General features: G+C 36.9%; 4 annotated features.

Annotated features, from left to right (window-relative positions):
- Nucleotides 10,518-11,036: an enhancer, noted in NCBI's record as "NANOG hESC enhancer chr4:177278841-177279359 (GRCh37/hg19 assembly coordinates)". NCBI's record gives its function as "activates a minimal SCP1, AML or CMV promoter by ChIP-STARR-seq in primed H9 embryonic stem cells {active_cell/tissue: H9 hESC(primed)}" and the evidence as "EXISTENCE:reporter gene assay evidence [ECO:0000049][PMID:30033119]".
- Nucleotides 10,518-11,117: a biological region, named in NCBI's record as "NANOG hESC enhancer GRCh37_chr4:177278841-177279359".
- Nucleotides 10,958-11,117: an enhancer, noted in NCBI's record as "active region_22167". NCBI's record gives its function as "activates an Ori minimal core promoter by ATAC-STARR-seq in GM12878 lymphoblastoid cells {active_cell/tissue: GM12878}" and the evidence as "EXISTENCE:reporter gene assay evidence [ECO:0000049][PMID:35858748]".
- Nucleotides 11,128-11,197: an enhancer, noted in NCBI's record as "active region_22166". NCBI's record gives its function as "activates an Ori minimal core promoter by ATAC-STARR-seq in GM12878 lymphoblastoid cells {active_cell/tissue: GM12878}" and the evidence as "EXISTENCE:reporter gene assay evidence [ECO:0000049][PMID:35858748]".

Here is a 17,375-nt window from a genome sequence, read left to right as displayed (position 1 = left end):
TATTGCTGAGTGCCCCAGAGCCTGCCTCCCCTGAGATCATGGTGTAGCGGGACCCTCTCCACTCCACCTGCAGGCATATCTCCAGGCATTTGGAGCACCCACTTGCCCAGATTGGCAGCCTGAGTTGCTCCATCCTTCCTGTGGAGAGATCTAAGTGCAGGGAGGCCCTCTCTGCTTCATGCCCAGGAAGATTTCCAGGTATCTGAAGCACCTGCTCACCTGGTTCAAAAGCCTGAGTTGCCCACCCTTTCTGTGCAGGGATCACAGTACATCTTGGTCATCTCTGCTCCATGCCCAGGCATAAGTCCACGCATTCAGGAGCACATGCTTGCCCAGACCAGCAGCCTGACTTGCCTCACCCTTCCCACACGGAGATAGCGCCTCTCCACTCCATGCCCTGGCAGATCTCCAGTTATTCAGAGCACCTGTTTGCCTGAATTAACATCCTGAGCATCTCCACCCTTCCTCTGCAGAGATTGTGGTGCTGGGGAGCCGTCTACACGGCACACCCAGACAGATCTCCTGACATCTGGAGCACTCACTCTCCTGGATTAGGAGTTTAGGCCAGCACCTTCAAAACCCTCTCCCTCCCCGACCCCATAGAGAACTTGGGGCTGAGGAGGTTTCCCAGTTCCATGCCTAGGCACGCAGCTGGTGCTTGGTGGCCACCCATTGAATTTTCCTTTGGTGCTGGTTCTTGTGCCTACCACTGGGAGACTTGCAGGCAGGCAGGCCTGCCCAGTCTGGCCCCACCCATTTGGCTCCCTGCTAGGACTAAGCAGGGAGCTCAGATCACTGTGCACTCCATGATCAGCCCATTGCCTGAGACAATAGGAGCTTCTCCCAGTAAACAAGGATCTAGTACATACCTGGCCACATTGGCCACTGCCAGCTCCCACCCATAAGTGTTAGCTACTGGCTTGTCAGTCAAACTGCACAGCGCAAAATAAAACCTCCCAACTGAAATGCGTAAAGCTGTGGAAGCAAAGCAAAAAGATTCCACCAAACATTTGCTACAGTCACACCCCCTAGAAATGGGGGAAAAGGGCAGAAGAAAAAACAATAATGTTATAGGGAAAGAAAGAAAGAAAAATTCTGTCTGCACTAAAATTACAAAAATTAGAAATGCCAGAATCTTCAGATGTTAAGGAACCTGTGTAAGAATTCTGATTACCATGAAAGATCCAAATGTATTGACATCACCAAAGGATAACACTAGGTCTCCAGCAATGGTCATTAAACAAAATGGAAATTTAGTAATGACAGATAAAGAATTCAAAGCATGGATTGCAAAGAACCTCAGTGAGATCCAAGAAAGGTTGAAAATCAATACAAAGAAACTTCTAAAGGAATCCAGGAAATGAAAGAAAAGATAAACATCTTAAAAAGAAATCAATCACAGCTTCTGGAGTTGAAAACCTCACTTAAGAAACTTCAAAATACAATTAAAAGCTTAATCAATAGACTAGACCAATCAGAAGAAAGAATATCAGAGCTTGAAGACTGGATTTTTGAACTAACACAGACAAAAATAAAGAGATTTTTTTTTAAAAAATGAACACACACTTCAAGAAATATGGTATTATGTAAAGCAAGCAAACCAATGAATTATTTACATTCCTGAGAGAGAAGGAGAAAAAGTAAACAAACTGGAAAATATATTTGAGAGAAGAATTTGAGAAAATTTCCCTAACCTTGCTAGAGATGTGAATATCAAGATAAAGAAAACCCAAAGAACACCTGTAAGATACTATACAAAAAGAACATCACCAAGATGTAAGGTCAGCAAACTGTCCAAAGTCAATGCTAAAGAAAAGGCAGCCAGAGAAAAAGGTCAGATCACATATGAAGGGAACCCTATCAGGCTAACTGCAGACTTAAAAGCTAGGAGAGATTGGGGCCATATTTTCAGGCTTCTTAAAGAAAAGAAATTCCAACCAAGAATTTAATATCCTGCCAAGCTAAGCTTCATAAGCAAAGGAGAAATAAAATATTTTCCAGACAAGAAAGCACTAAGGGAATTCATTACCACTATATCAGCCTTACGAGAGACTCTTAAGGGAGTTCTAAACATGGAAATGAAAGAATGATACCTATTACCACAAAAACACACTTAAGTACATAGCCCACACATCCTATAAAGTAATTATACAATTGAACTCCAAAGCAACCAGCTAACAACTTCACAATAGAATCAAAACCTCACATATCAATATTGACCTTGAATGTAAACAGTCTAAATCCTCAACTTAAAAGACAGAGAGCAGCAAGTTGAACAGAAAAACAAGACCCGTCCGTCTGCTGTCTTCAAGAGACCCACCTCACATGTGACAACACTCACAGGCTCAAAGTAAAGGGATGGAGAGAGATCTATCACAGAAACAGAAAACAAAAGAAAGCAGGGGTCACTATACTTACATCAGATAAAACAGACTTTAAAGCAACAACAGTAAAAAAGGAGAAAGAAAGGCCTTTACCATTACATAATGATAAAGTGTTCAACATGAAGATTTAACTTCCTAAACCCATATATGGAACCAACATTGGAGCACCCAGAAACAAATACTTCTAGAGCTGTGAGAAGACATAGACAGCCGTGCAATAATCATGGGTGACTTCAATATCCCATTGAAAACATTAGACAGATTATCGAAGCAGAAAACTAACAAAGAAATTCTGGACTTGTATTCAATGCTTGATCAATTGAACCTAGTAAACATCTACAGAATTCTCTATTCATCAGTCTCTGAATATATATTCTTCTAATCTGCACATGGAATATAACTCTAAGATCAACCACATGCCCAGCCATAAAGTAAGTCTCAATAAATTTTTTAAAAAAATCAAAATCATGCCAAACATATTATTGGACTGCAGTGGAATGAAAACAGAAATCAATACCAAGAGGATCTCTCTAAACCACACAGTTACATGAAAAATTAAATGACTTGCTCCTGAATAACTTTTGTGCAAACAATAAAATTAAGGCAGAAATCAAAAAGTTCTCTAAATAAATGAAATCAGAGACACAGCATGCCAAAATCTCTGGGATACAGCAAAAACAGTGTTAAGAGGAAAGTTTATAGTGCTATATGCCTACATAAAAAAATTAGAAAGATCTTATATTCATGATCTAACCTCACATCTAGAGGAGCTGGAAAAACAAGAACATACTAATCCCAAAGCCAGCAGAAGAAAATAAATAACTAAAATCAAAGCAGAACTGAATGAAATGGAGACTCAAAAATCCATACAAAGAATCAACAAGCCCAAAATTTAGTTCTCTGAAAGGGTAAACAAAATTGATAGAACACTAGCTAGAGTAACAAAGGAAAAAAGAGAGACGATCCAAATAAGCACAATCAAAAATGACAAAGGTCACAATACAACTGATCCTGCAGAAATACAAAAGATCCTCAGAGACTATTATGAACAGCTGTATACAAAAACTAGAAAATTTAGAGGAAATGGATAAATTCCCAGAAACATACATCCTCCCAAGATTGAATCACGAAGAAACTGAAAACCTGAATAGACCAATATTAAGTTCTGAAACTGAATCAGTAATAAAAAAACCTACCAATCCAAAAAAAGCCACAGACCAGATGGATTCATGGCTGAATTCTACTAGATGTACAAGGAGGAGGTGGCACCAATTCTACTAGAACTATTCTGAAAAATCAAGGAGGAGGACTCCACTTCATTCTATAAGGCCAGCATCACCTTGATACCAAAACCTGGCAAAGACGCACCAGAAACAACTGAACAAAAACTATAGGCCAATATCCCTGATGAACATAGATGCAAATATCCTCAGCAAAATACTGTTTACCATGATCACGTAGGCTTTATTCCTGGGATGCAAGGTTGGTTCAACATATGCAAATCAGAAAATATGATTCACCACATAAACAGAATTAAAAACAAAAAGCATATGATCATCTCAATAGATGTAGAAAAAGCTTCTGATAAAATCCAACAATGTTTCCTGGCAAAATCTCTCAAGAAACTAGGAATTGAATAAACATACCACAAAATAATGGGAGCCATCTATGACAAACTCACAGCCAACATCATACTGAACAGGGAAAAGCTGCACACATTCCACTTAAGAATCAGGACAAAACAAGGATGCCCACTCTTGCCACTCCCATTCAACATAGTCCTCGCTACAGTAATCCCACAAGGGAAAAAATTAAAAGGCATCAAAAGAGGAAAAGAAGAAATCAAATTATCTCTCTTAACTGCCAATATGATTCTATATCTGAAAAATCCTAAAAACTCTGCCAGAAGGCTCCTAGAACTGATAAATGACTTTAGAAAAGTTTCAGGATACAAAATCTAAGTACAAAAATCAGTAGCATTTCTATACACCTATAATGTTCAAGCTGAGAGCCAAATCAAGAATGTGATGTCAATTACAATGTGCACAAAAAATAAAATAAAATATCTAGGAATACACCTAACCAAAGAGGTAAAAGATCCCTACAAGGAGAACTACAACACACTGCTGAAAGAAATTATAGATGGCACAAACAAATGGAAAAACATTCCATGCGCATGGATTGGAAGAATCAGTATCATTAAAATGGCCATACTGCCCAAAGCAATCTAAAGATTCAACACCATTCCATTCAAACTACCAATGTCATTTTTCACAGAATTAAACAAATCTATTCCAAGATTCATATGGAATAAAAAACAGAGCCATAAAGGCAAAGGAATCATAAGCAATAAGAACAAAGTAGGAGGTATCATATTATCGATTATTCAACTGTACTTCAAGGCTGCAGTAAGCAAAACAGCACGATACTAGTTCAAAAGCAGACACATAGATCAATGGAACAGAGGAGAGAATGCAGAAATAAAGCTATACACCTGCAGTCATCTGATGTTTGACAAAGTTGACAAAAAATAAGCAATGGGGAAATAATTCACTAGCCACATGCAGAAGAATGAAACTGGAGCCCTGCCTTTCACCATATATACAGATTATATCAAGACAGATTACAGATTTAAATGTAAGACCTTAAATAAGAATCCTGAAAGAAAATCTAGTAAATTGTGGACATCTGCCTTGGAGAAGAATTCATGACTAAATCCTCAAAAGCAATTGCACCAAACAAAAATTGGGAAGTGGGACCTAATTAAAGAGCTTCTGCACAGCAACAGAAACTACCAACAGAGTAAACAGACAACCTGCAGAAGGGCAGAAGATACTTGAAAACTATGCCTCTGCCAAAGGTCTGATATCCAACATCTATAAGGATCTTAAAGAATTCAACAAGCAAAAAACAAATTACCCCATTAAAAAGTGGGCAAAAGACATGACAGACACTTCTCAAGAGAAGACATTTAAGCAGCCAATAAACAAATGAAAAAATGCTCAATCTCACTAAGCATCAGAGAAATGCAAATCAAAACCACAAGAAGATATCAACCCACTCCGGTCAGAATGGCTACTGTTAAAAAGTCAAAAAAGAACAGATTGCTGGTGAGACTGCAGAGAAAAGGAAATGCTTATATAGTATTGGTAGGAATGTAAATTAGTTCAGCCCCTGTGGAAAGCAGCTTAGAGATTTCTCAAATAACTACCATTTAACCCAGCAGTCTCATTACTGAGTATATACTCAAAGTAAAAGAAATCCCTCTACTAAATGAGTACTTGTATGTTCGTCACAGCACTATTCACAAGAGTAAAGACATGGAATCAAGCTAGATGCCCATCAACAGTGGACTGGATGAAGAAAATGTAGTGCATATACCCTGAGGCACTACATGGCCATAAAAAAGAACGAAATCATGTCCATTGCAACAACATGGACTGACCTGGAGCTCATTATTCTAAGCGAATTACCGCAGAAACAGAAAACAAAATACCACATGTTCTCACTTGTAAGTGAGAGCTAAGCACTGGGTACACATAAATATAAACATGACAACAGACACTGGGGACTACTAGAGAGGGGAGAAGGAGAAGGGAGATAGGGCTAAGAAACTACTTGTTGGGTACTAAGCCCAAACCTCAGTATTACACAATAGGCTCATTTAACAAGTCTTCACATGTCTCCCCTGAATCTAAAATTACTTGAAATTATTTTTAAGGCCGGACGCAGTGGCTCACGCCTGTAATCCCAGCACTTAGGGAGGCCGAAGCGGGCGGGTCACAAGGTCAGGAGATCCAGACCATCCTGGCTAACACGGTGAAACCTCATCTCTACTAAAAAAATACAAAAAATTAGCTGGGCATGGTGGCGGGTGCCTGTAGTCCCAGCTACTTGGGAAGCTGAGGCAGGAGAATGGCGTGAAGCCGGGAGGCAGAGCTTGCAGTCAGCTGAGATCGTGCCACTGCACTCCAGCCTGGGCGACAGAGCGGGACTCCGTCTCAAAAAAAAAAAAAAATTTTTTTTAAAAAAGAAAAAGATTTTAAGATCATGGGACAATATTAGTAAATGACATGATAAAGCAATTTACCAAGAAGAAACGCAAAGAGAAAAGAAACATTAAATCATGTCAATCTCATAAGAATCAAACATATAAAATTTAAAATTAGGTAAATGTTTTTTCACCAACAAATTGGAAATTTGTAAGAAAATAATAAAATCTAGTTTTGGTGAGCTTTCAAAGACATGGAAACCCCCATAAATTGTCAGGTGACTTAAAAAATGCCCTAACCCCTTCAGAAGTCAGTCTGGCAATACATAATACAAAAAATTCATAAAATATTCAGCTGGGTGCGGTGGCTCATACTTGTAATCCTAGCACTTTGGGAGGCTGAGGCAGGCAGATCACCTGAGGTATGGAGCTCAAGACCAGCCTGGCCAATATGGCGAAACCCTATCTCTACTAAAAAATACAAAAATTAGCCGAGTGTGGTGGCAAGTGCCTGTAATCCCAGCTACTCGGAAGACAGAGGCAGGGAGAATTGCTTGAACCCAGAAGGCGGAGGTTGCAGTGACCCGAGATCACACCACTGCACTCCAACCTGGGAGACAGAGCAAGACTCCATCTCAAAAAAAAAAAAAAAAAAAAAAAAAAAAAAATTCTACTAACCCATCAATTTCTGTGTAGGGATTTTCCTAGGGAAATCATCAAAAATATATGCTAACATATGCAAATACTTATAGCTAAGATACTTGTTGAAATGTTTTTAATATTAGACTTCAAAAATCTCAGATGACAAACAATAGACTGATTTAGTTCATATTGGTAATTATAAATTGATGTTGTAGAAGAATATTTAACAACAGTAAAATTTTCATTATGTAGAATAAAATACAGGCTAGAAAATATTAAATTTTTAATATATCTAGAATACATATCTACATACAATTTTAAATTTATATTTTATAGAAGCATAAACTATAACATAATAGGCAGTATAAATATGCATGTGTGTTTGTATATGTGTGTATCCAAATGATAAATTCTCCATTCTCTGACAATCAATTTTGGGGGAGTGGGATTAGGCCATAACATGCCTCCTCAGGATCAAGCTGTTCACTATTGCTCTTCCAGGTTGCACAGTGGGTACCACTTCCAGGTATTTCTGGTTATAACCTGGAGATCATGAACTGTAGTTACTTTTAAAACAAGGTTCATACACATAGCAACCTTGTTTTAGAAGTAACCACAGTTCATGTGCTTCAGGTGAACTCATTTATCTTTAGAGGCCAATCTCTCATCTCTTGACAACACTGGATTAGAGTATCTGTCAGTAACTGTGTACAGTCCCATATATAATATTGTCCAGTGTTTGGTGTTTTTCATTTCAAACAATGTAATCTGCTGTACTTTAGGAGAAAGGGATTATAAAGGGCTATCTAAATAGTACACAGAACTGGTGGATGAGTTAAAAAAAGTCTTTAGGCTAAGTTTGCAGAAACAATTTCCCAAATGACACCATCAAACTGGACAAAGAATGAAGTTTTTGTCTCTGCCATGGTCAGAGTGCCAGTGCTATAGCAGTTAATTCAGAAATACATCTTAATTTGCTGACATAATTTGTGTCAGGAAAATGGGTGCCCCACATTTTGCCTCTGTCCTCTGGTGACTCATGTTCTGAATCAATCTCAAATGAGTACATTTGCTTTGTAGAACCTAAATCACTAGCTGCAGTGAACACTAGCTACAAGTGAGTCTGAAAAACATAATTTTATTTCTGTAGTCTCTGCACACTGAAGAGTTGTAGGAATGGGTATTGCCATAGTCAATCCACAGTTTTCCTTGGCAGTCCACCCCTTTGACAACACAATGTCCATATGTGTCATTCTTTCAACATGTGTATTAAAAAAAAACCCAACGCATTTTCTCCTAACATAATGAGATTATCTTTCATTCAAATAAAAATGTTTGCTCTGTCCCTGAAAAAAAAAGACCCAAGTCTCGTCAGTAATTGCATTCATTTATTCATCTTCCAATTTGGTTATACTCCTACTTTGATATTCGGTATATTTCAAACTCAGAGTAAAGTTAGCCAAAGGCAACACAAATAGAAAAGGGAAATTACGTAAACATATGCCTGATCATGCAAAGAAGAAAATATTGACAGCTACTATAATACTTATTTCTGTAACTAATCAGGAAGGCTTAGTTGAAATGTACAATGTCCTTCCTCCACTCCCAATTTGCACCTCAACTGGTTGGGGTTCTTTACCTGGTGGGGTGGCCCAAGGCTTCATTCCTTTGTGCCTTGGCTGCTCCTGCCTGTATGGGATTTCTATATTATTTTGTTAATTTTTATCATTAGTACTTGGAGGCACCTCAGTCTCCTGACTTCCAGATGTTTCTCTGTTGCTCCACAATGTATCTGCAACCACATTTTTCTTTGATAATTAAGGCAAATGTACTAGTCAAAGGAGTCTGCAGAAAGGCATGGGGGGAGGGTGGGGAGATTTGGAACTCCCATGTTAAGCCACAGCCTCTGGAAACATTTAATGTTTCCAGGTCAGAACAACAAACTGGGCCGAGGCAGAGCAAATGCAAATTCTTGTTAGAAAAGTCACCAGTTTCAGCACTCAGCCTTTTTACAATAAGTCATACCAGATGTAGGCTCCCAATGTTTTTTAAATCACCAATACACAAGAAATAAACTATTGTAAAGGATAGTCGGTAGGTAAAATAAAAGGTCTTTAGATACAAGAATGATAAGAATTTTCAGATACAAAATTTTTCTAGGGCAATGTATAAAATGTTCAAAAATAAAAGTTGGAACTAAATTAATAGGCAAGGACCAAGAAAGTCAAAAAAGTTCATGAAAATTTTAAGAGAGTCAAGTAGAATTTTAAGAACTAATAGAATAATAATTATACGGGAGGATTAAGCAAAAACTAAGAGCACTACCACCGGACATTATTCATTGAAGAAGTATTTAATATGTGGACTTCAAAAAAGACATGGAAAGCAAGAAGTAATGGTGAGTTAAGAAAATGGTAAATATTTAAGTAAATCTCAACAAAGACGTTTGCTTGTAGTGATTATGACGATGTGAAAGGAAAATAAATCTTGGGGCCTTAAAATCACCAAGCTAAAGGGAAAAGTCAAGCTGGGAACTGCTTAGGGCAAACCTGCTTCCTATTCTGTTTAAAGTCACCCCTCTGCTCACTGAGATAAATGCATACCCGATTGCCTCCTTTGGAGAGGCTAATCAGAAACTCAACAGAATGCAGCCATTTGTCTCTTATCTACCTATGACCTGGAAGCCCCCTCCCCAATTCAAGTTGTCCCAACTTTGCTTTGAGTTGTCCCACCTTTCCCAATCAAACCAATGTTTGTCTTATGTATATTGATTGATGTCTGTCTCCCTAAAATGTATAAAACCAAGCTGTGCTCGGATCACCTTGGGCACACGTTGTCAGGACTCCTGAGGCTGTGTCCTTAACTTTGGGTGTGCGTCCTTAACTTTGGCAAAATAAACTTCCTAAATTGACTGAGATCTGTCTCAGATATTCAGGGTTCATATTTTGGTAACCATGAAGGGATTCTGAGTGGAGATACCCCTGACCTTTGACAAATCTCCTATCAGTGCTTGGTACCAGCTCGAGTTATCTTTATGGCTCAAACCAATAGGACAATTTGCTGAGGCCTGGAAGCCTCTCCCTCCAGAGGATCCCTGGTCTCCCCAAATTTGGTTGAGATATGAAGTTTATTTTGCTGTACAACTGTTTTTTTTTTTTTTTGAGTTTTACTGACTTCCAACAAGGAGGGAGGGCAAGTTGTCCTGCTTCCATGGTGATGGAAGGCAGGTAACTCCTTTCTGGAGTTTGAAATCACTCCCAACAGGGAAGGCAAGTTTGAATTTTTTTCCTGCTTCTAGGAAGGTAGAGAGCAATCTTCAGCCTGAGACCCACCCCAAGGTAAGTAACTGAATTGGGGTTTGTCTTGGCTAAAGTTAAGATTAACAACCAGCTGGTCTTAATTTTTCCTTACCATTAGAGCGCTCAGTAATGGTATAAGTTGTGCAATCATTTGTTTGTTTCGCTTAACTGCTTTTTCGTTGTTTGTTTTGTTCCTGTTTTTGTTGTTGTTTCAGTCTTTTTCCTATTGGGTTTGACCAGCTCTATCCAATTTGATCAAATCTAAAGGAAAGTTCCAAATTATGGGAAACAAGGCCTCTGAAGTGGCTAAATTGCTACAAAAACAAAAACAAACAACATCAACAAAAAGGTGTGGTGGGGGAGAAAAACAACCACTAAAAAGAAAAAAAAGTAAAGTTTTTTTTTTTTATTTTGACTACTTAAGGAGCTTTATTTACATAACAAAGCCACCTTTTTGCTCTTTCAGGTCAAACTGAAAGAGCAATGGTTGTGGCCCTATGCTGCAGTTCCATAGCTAAGTTTCTGCCTTCTTTTTTTTCACTATGACAGCCTGGGTTTCGTTTCTAAATCAAGCCCTTTCTGGTTTGATGCTTGATGTCAGAGGTGTTTGAATCAGAGCAACTCCATCCTGAATAGGGGCTGCGTGAAATGAGGCTGAGAACTACTGGGCTGCATTCCTAGATGTTCTAAATCACTGGATGAGATAGGAGGTCAACACAAGATACAGGTCATAAAGACCTTGCTAATAAAACAGCTTCCAGTAAAAAGCCGGCCAAAACCCAACAAAATCAAAATGCCAATGAGAATGACCTCTGGTTGTCCTCACTGCTACACTCATGACAGTTTACACAAGCCACGGCAACATCAGGAAGTTGCTCCATATGGTTTAAGAAGGGGCACCATGAATCAGATCTACCCCTTGTTTCACATGTAATCAAGAAATAACTATCAGCAGCCATCAGGAGGGCTGCTCTGCCTATGGAGTAGCCAGCCATTCTTTTGTTTCTTAACTTCTCTAATAAACTTGCCTTCACTTTACTGTATGGATTCTCCTTGAATTCTTTCTTGTGTGAAATCCAAAAACCCTCTATTGGGGTCTGGATCAGGACTCCTTTCCATTAATATTGGTACTTCTAAAATAGCAGCAATTTGACCTCGCTGAAATATGGTAATAAGATTTTAAAAGATTTTTTTAAAGGAGTTCAACGGTTAAAAGTCACCTTAATTAAAAGCTAACATCCAAGCTGTGTTTGTGTATGTCTGTGTGTGCGTGTATTTGAATTTAAAAGGCCTGTTTTGTTTTGTTTTTCTCTCTCCTAGGACCTTGTCTTTTTTGAGCAAAAGTTTTTTTCTTCTCAGTTGACTGAATTCTGTTTTCTTCATTTACATCTGCTGTCTCTCCTTTCTCTTGAACCCTGTGCTGCAAGAGGGACCTAAAATAGTTTATAATAGCCTGGGGTTCCTTAAAGAAAATGGAGAAGGTGCCAGACTTCCTTGTGGGAAAAAGCTGCTGTTTTTCCTTATGGAACTCCAAGAGTGTAAACAGGCAAATTCGTCTCAGCTCTTAAACTGCTTGCTTTTGTACTACGTTACCTGATTTTTTGACTAAAATAGTTGCAACAGAGGCTACTCTTGGGTTTTTAAGGAAGAATGTCTTTGTTTAAAAAATGAAATGTCTTTGTTTAAAAAAAAATTTTTTTTAGTGCACTGTACAAGCATCGCATGTTCTAGCCTCATAATAATTCTCCCTTTTTGGAGACCCAGGATTCTGTATGGGCTCTGCCCAGAGCTCAGCGATCTAGTTAAGTGACAAGTAGTCCCTATCTAAATTAAATTAGTCTCCTTATACAATACTATGATAGATTTCTGTATATTTTTACGTTTGATTTGGCATCCATCTTTAATTTCCCTCTAGCACCAACAGACATTTTCTCTCTGTACCTTGGGTTGTAAACTTTGCTATTTGATTTTTCACCTAAGAGTTGTTTCCTTCAATACGCAGATTTAGGGCTATTTACCTGACAACTGCCAGCATAATGAAACAGGTTTTCAAGAATTTGCATGTCTTAAATAGGGGGAAAAAGGGAGGTCTTATGAATCTATAAGGTGTACTTTTATTGATATGCCTAATGCATCTATGTATTTATGTGTTGTGTACACAATGTTTCACTATTAAAAATATATGAAAGAGCTCTAAGTAATTGGCTTAAGGAAAAATAAAAGTGCTTAAATCAAATACTTCATTAGAAAAAAGGAAAGACTAGTCAAATGCTTTTTCAAATTCAAGTTTTTCAAGACCTAAGTAAAATCATTAATAAATAAGCTAACTTTAAAATTTTTGATAAAGTAATATTAGAAATGTCTTAAGAGTTTCCAGCATACATTTTTGTTTGTATTTATTAATCAAGCATTTTCATACTTACCCCTGCCAAATACTATCAGTTCTCAAAATTTGGCATAGGGGTTACAAAACTGTAAAGCCCAGTGCAAAACAGAATGATCTTTGTTTATGTAGCTTTTGATAAATAAGACGTTAATATTGGTTTAATGACAATAGCTAAATCTTGAATTATTTAGTAAAATAACCATAACTTCTAATCTTCTGGCTTTAGGCAGTTTAGTCCCCAGGCAGGAAGGGGGTTTGTTTTGGGAGAGGACTGTTATTGTCTTTGTTTCAAAGCTAAATTATAACCTAAATTCCTCCAAAAGTTAGTTCGGCCCATGCCCAGGAATGAACAAGGACAGCTTGGAGATTAGAAGCAAGATGGAGTCAGTTAGGTCAGATGTTTTTCACTGTCTCAATTATAATTTTGCAACGGCAGTTTCATAACTTTAAGTGATGACTATTGCAGTTTTCATAATCTAGGTAAACAATTAAAATGAAATAATTAGGTAAATGTATGGGGTAAATACTTGTAGACAAACTTTTCATAATTTAGAATCTAAAGTTATATTAAATAATAGCTATTTCATTACTTGGGTATTTTCCAATTAAAATATATTGTAGGAAAACATTCTTTCTAAAAATACAATACGTGTCCTTTTTAAAAAGGTGAATACTTTTGTCTAATTCAAAGCTTATTTCAAGATTATGTATAAAACAAGGTAAAAGATACCAGGAAATAAATAGAGATGTAAAGAAAGTTATAGAAATAAAGAGGTATTTTTTGGTAAGAAGGTTAAAGAGAAATAATTTTATATGAGAAGGAATCTTGTATGGTAAACTTTGTCCTAAAATAAAACGTCTGGTTGTTTAAAAAAGAGGGATGCTCATGACAAACAAGAATGTCCAAGCATGTTATGAATGGTCTGTGTAAGACACAATAAGAGGATTTATTTAAAAGGACAACTTTTTTATGATCATTTTGTCTATAATTTTAATTATCAATTATCTAGAGATTGTGTTTAATTATTTAAAAAAACTACTTATACCCTAAATAATTGGTTCAAAGTATGCCATGTTCTTAAGTTGTTGCTTTACTCTTTTTTGTTTTTTTTTTTTTTGACACACAGTCTCACTCTATCACCAAAGCTGGAGTGCAGTGGCATGATCTCATTTCACTGTAAACTCCGCCTCCTTGATTCAAGTGATTCTGCTGCCTCAGGCTCCTGAGTAGCTGGGATTACAAGTGTGCGCCACCATGCCCAGCTAATTTTTGTATTTTTAGGAGAAATGGGGTTTCACCATGTTGGCCAAGCTTGTCTTGAACTGCTAACCTCAAGTGATCCACCCACCTTGACCTCCCGAAGTGCTGGGATTACAGACGTGAGCCACCATGCCCAGCTCTAATTGCTTTACTCATAATAAATTAAAAGACATTATAATTTTTTATGCAAAGTTCAACTTTTATTGCATTTTGCTGTTTTTGGCTTTCTCTCCCTTTTTAAAAGGCTTGAAATAATAACTCTATGTTCAACTCATTTTTAGCTCCTGCAAGTTATTTTTTTTCCAGTTCTAACTATTGTGGCCTGATGCAAAAACAAAACAAAACAAAAAACAATTTCATCTTAAAGGTCTAAAGGAAATGTTTCCTTCCAACAGAATATTCCCCATAGGGAACAGCAGTCACATTGCAGAAGATCTTTTCTCTTGCCTTGGGTAACTGGCCTAATAAACAGATCTTGTGCATCATTGAAATAATTCCTATATCATTATTACTATGTCTGGTTTACTTAGAAAAAAACTGAGATTAAAAACAATTTTTTAAAACTACAGTTACTACACCCTTATAACTTTCTGTTATGTGCTTTTAAAGTCCTTGTGCCAATAAGTTACAGGGCTTTGACTCCTGGGTCTAAAAGGACACCAAGTTCTGCTGAATCTTATCACTGACAGCAATTAAAGCCTCTCTTCAGACACCATAGAAGATACCAATCAAAATAAACTGTGTTTGTGAGACACAGGGCCAGAAATTAAAGCTATTCAACTCCTCAAGGCCCAGGAATTATTGTGGAAGTGGCCAGCACATGAGATTCTAAGGGCCAATTTTGAGAGATAAAGTAAGTTCAGTTTCTCTATAAAGTAACCATTAATGTCAAAGGCACATTGATGCAAGCACAGCATATGGGCCCCAGTATCAGATTTACAAGGTTTTCCTGAAGCATTAGCCAACTCCTTAATAAAGGTTATAAAAGACTTACGGAAATTATATCTTACGTCAAGATGATTAAAATTTTATAGATTGTGTATAAATTTTTGAAAACAAATTTAACTGGCTTCACGATGTTTTATTGCACTTATTTTTTGAAAAAGTAAGTCTCCTCTCTCAAAGAATGAAGATTTTCATCTTTTTTTTGAAATCCTTATTACTTTGGTTAAATGAATGACTTATTTTACAACGACCTGTGATCCTATTTTGTAATATCAAGTGTTTTAAACTTTTGATATTTGACAAACTTTCCAAAATCAAATTATAAATTATGTCTTTTTCTGACCTAATTAATCTTTCATGGTATTAGGTTCACTAAAGTCAAAAAATGACATATTTGGCTTATTTGGCATAAAAATCATACAGGAAACATTGTCAAATATGAAATGTTATTTGGCTTTCTTTGGGCTATAGTTCTATAAATATGCTACTGGTAGGAGTTCCAACATTATGGGAAACTGCTATAATTCTGATATGACTTAGTGCACATTATCAGTCATAACTATAATTGTTATGTTAAATTATCGTGTGCCACAGAGGTAAAAAATTTCCTTGTCAAGTGTGTCTTTGACTATGGCTGCCTTAAAACTTTTTGTCATTGACAAACAATTGTCTTGTTTTGGTCCTTTTTAGAAGGTGGCTTTATAATCAGCTATAAAACTCTAACAGGTGTTCTTCAACACAGGTTTATGATAACTTTGGAGATTGTGACATTAAAATAGAGGAAAACTTTCAGGACTCTTATGGTGAGATGGAATGTCCATGAATATCATGCAGAAGAGGAGCTAACTGTATGGACTGAACTAATAGAAGACTGAATTAATCTTTTGACGTTTTGCTTAAAACATTGCTGATCCTTTGTTTTGTTTTTCAGAAACAAGAAAACTTTTCCTTTGAGCTATTTACAGTTTGTAGCAATTGAGTAAAGTATACTCCTGTGAACAAAATTTGGAGCATATCTGTTTCTACCTGAATTCTCCAGAATTTGTAAACTTTTGTGAGTATTCTTAATTTACAGCAATACAGTTATTTGCATAAGTGCAAATAATACTTTCTTTTGCAACAGGACATCATTGGATAAACTGGTTATTTTACCAAGGCTTTGACTGGAATGGTGTGCTTTCCTTTAAGGAATCAAGCTTGACTTATAGAACCAATAAAAGCCTCTTGGGAAAACTGGCCTCATACCTTGCCTACACAGTTTCTGTACAGGGTTCCTGACCTGTTGTAAGTAAAGAATGTCACTTTCTGACAGGCTCAGGAGTCCCAAGTTTTCTTGGGACCTCAAGAGGAGAGGAATTTACCCAACTCATAGATATTTGATGGTGCAAATCCATGGCTGGGCTTTTAAAAAGTCTTATCTGAGATTCTTTCTATGAAACAAAGCTCCATTTAATTAATAAATTGATGATTAATGATTAATTATAATTAATAATAAATTATTAATTAACAAAGCAAAATTAAAAAGCCTTTGTGAAAAATAATTATTCCTGCTGCATGTTGTACAAATAATCTGGCCAAGTATAATAAAACAAATCACTCCTACCATGATTTGTCTTTGGTAAAAATGGCAAACTGGAGAGAGAAAAATTCAAAAACTATAGTACACCCATTGTTAGATTCTAGTCTTGCCTAATGTTTTTCCATTTTTATTATTTTCTACAGTTTGGACTGAATTATATTTTTTCCTGGCTATAATGAATAATGTCTCCAAAATAATGTTTTCAATGTGTTTCTTCTTTCTTTTCCTTTTTACCCCTATTTTTCCCAATTCGAAATTGTTGAAAACTAAGCTGTGTTTTCTTAAAGCCCTGTGAACTAAAGCCAGGCAACTTAAACTTCAGAAGAAAATAACAGAAACCTATTTAAATACATAAGCCACTTTCATACCTGCCTACTAATGTATGGACTTCCGAGTAATGTGGCCTATATCAATCTTCCAGGATTGCTCTTTTGTTTGTTGTTTTGTCCCTTCTTCCCCCTATTTTCTCTTCATAGGACATGAGACTTCATAACCTGTTAAAATGAGCTTTCCTAATAACTCAGGACCTTCCTGTCTAGGAATAAACCATCCTAGCCATGACAGATCAGACAAAACCTGAGACCAGAGATTCATTTTCTTTTAAAATACTTCCTCCAAAAAGATTTTTAAAAGAAAAGCAGGGGAAATGTGAAAGAAAAATAAGTCTTCAGGCCCTATAATCACTAAGCTAAAGGGAAAAGTCAAGCTGGGAACTGCTTAGGGCAAACCTGCCTCCTATTCTATTCAAAGTCATCCTTCTGCTCACTGAGATAAATGCATATCTGACTGCCTCCTTTGGAAAAACTAATCAGAAATTCAAAAGAATGCAAACATTTGTCTCTTATCTACCTATGACCTGGAAGGCCCCTCCCCACTTCAAGTTGTCCC

This window comes from Homo sapiens, chromosome 4 (genome assembly GCF_000001405.40).
Source record: "Homo sapiens chromosome 4, GRCh38.p14 Primary Assembly".
Lineage (NCBI taxonomy): Eukaryota > Metazoa > Chordata > Mammalia > Primates > Hominidae > Homo > Homo sapiens.
The sequence above is the reverse complement of the archived record's forward strand: the minus strand, read 5'-3'. Positions and strand labels throughout refer to the sequence as shown.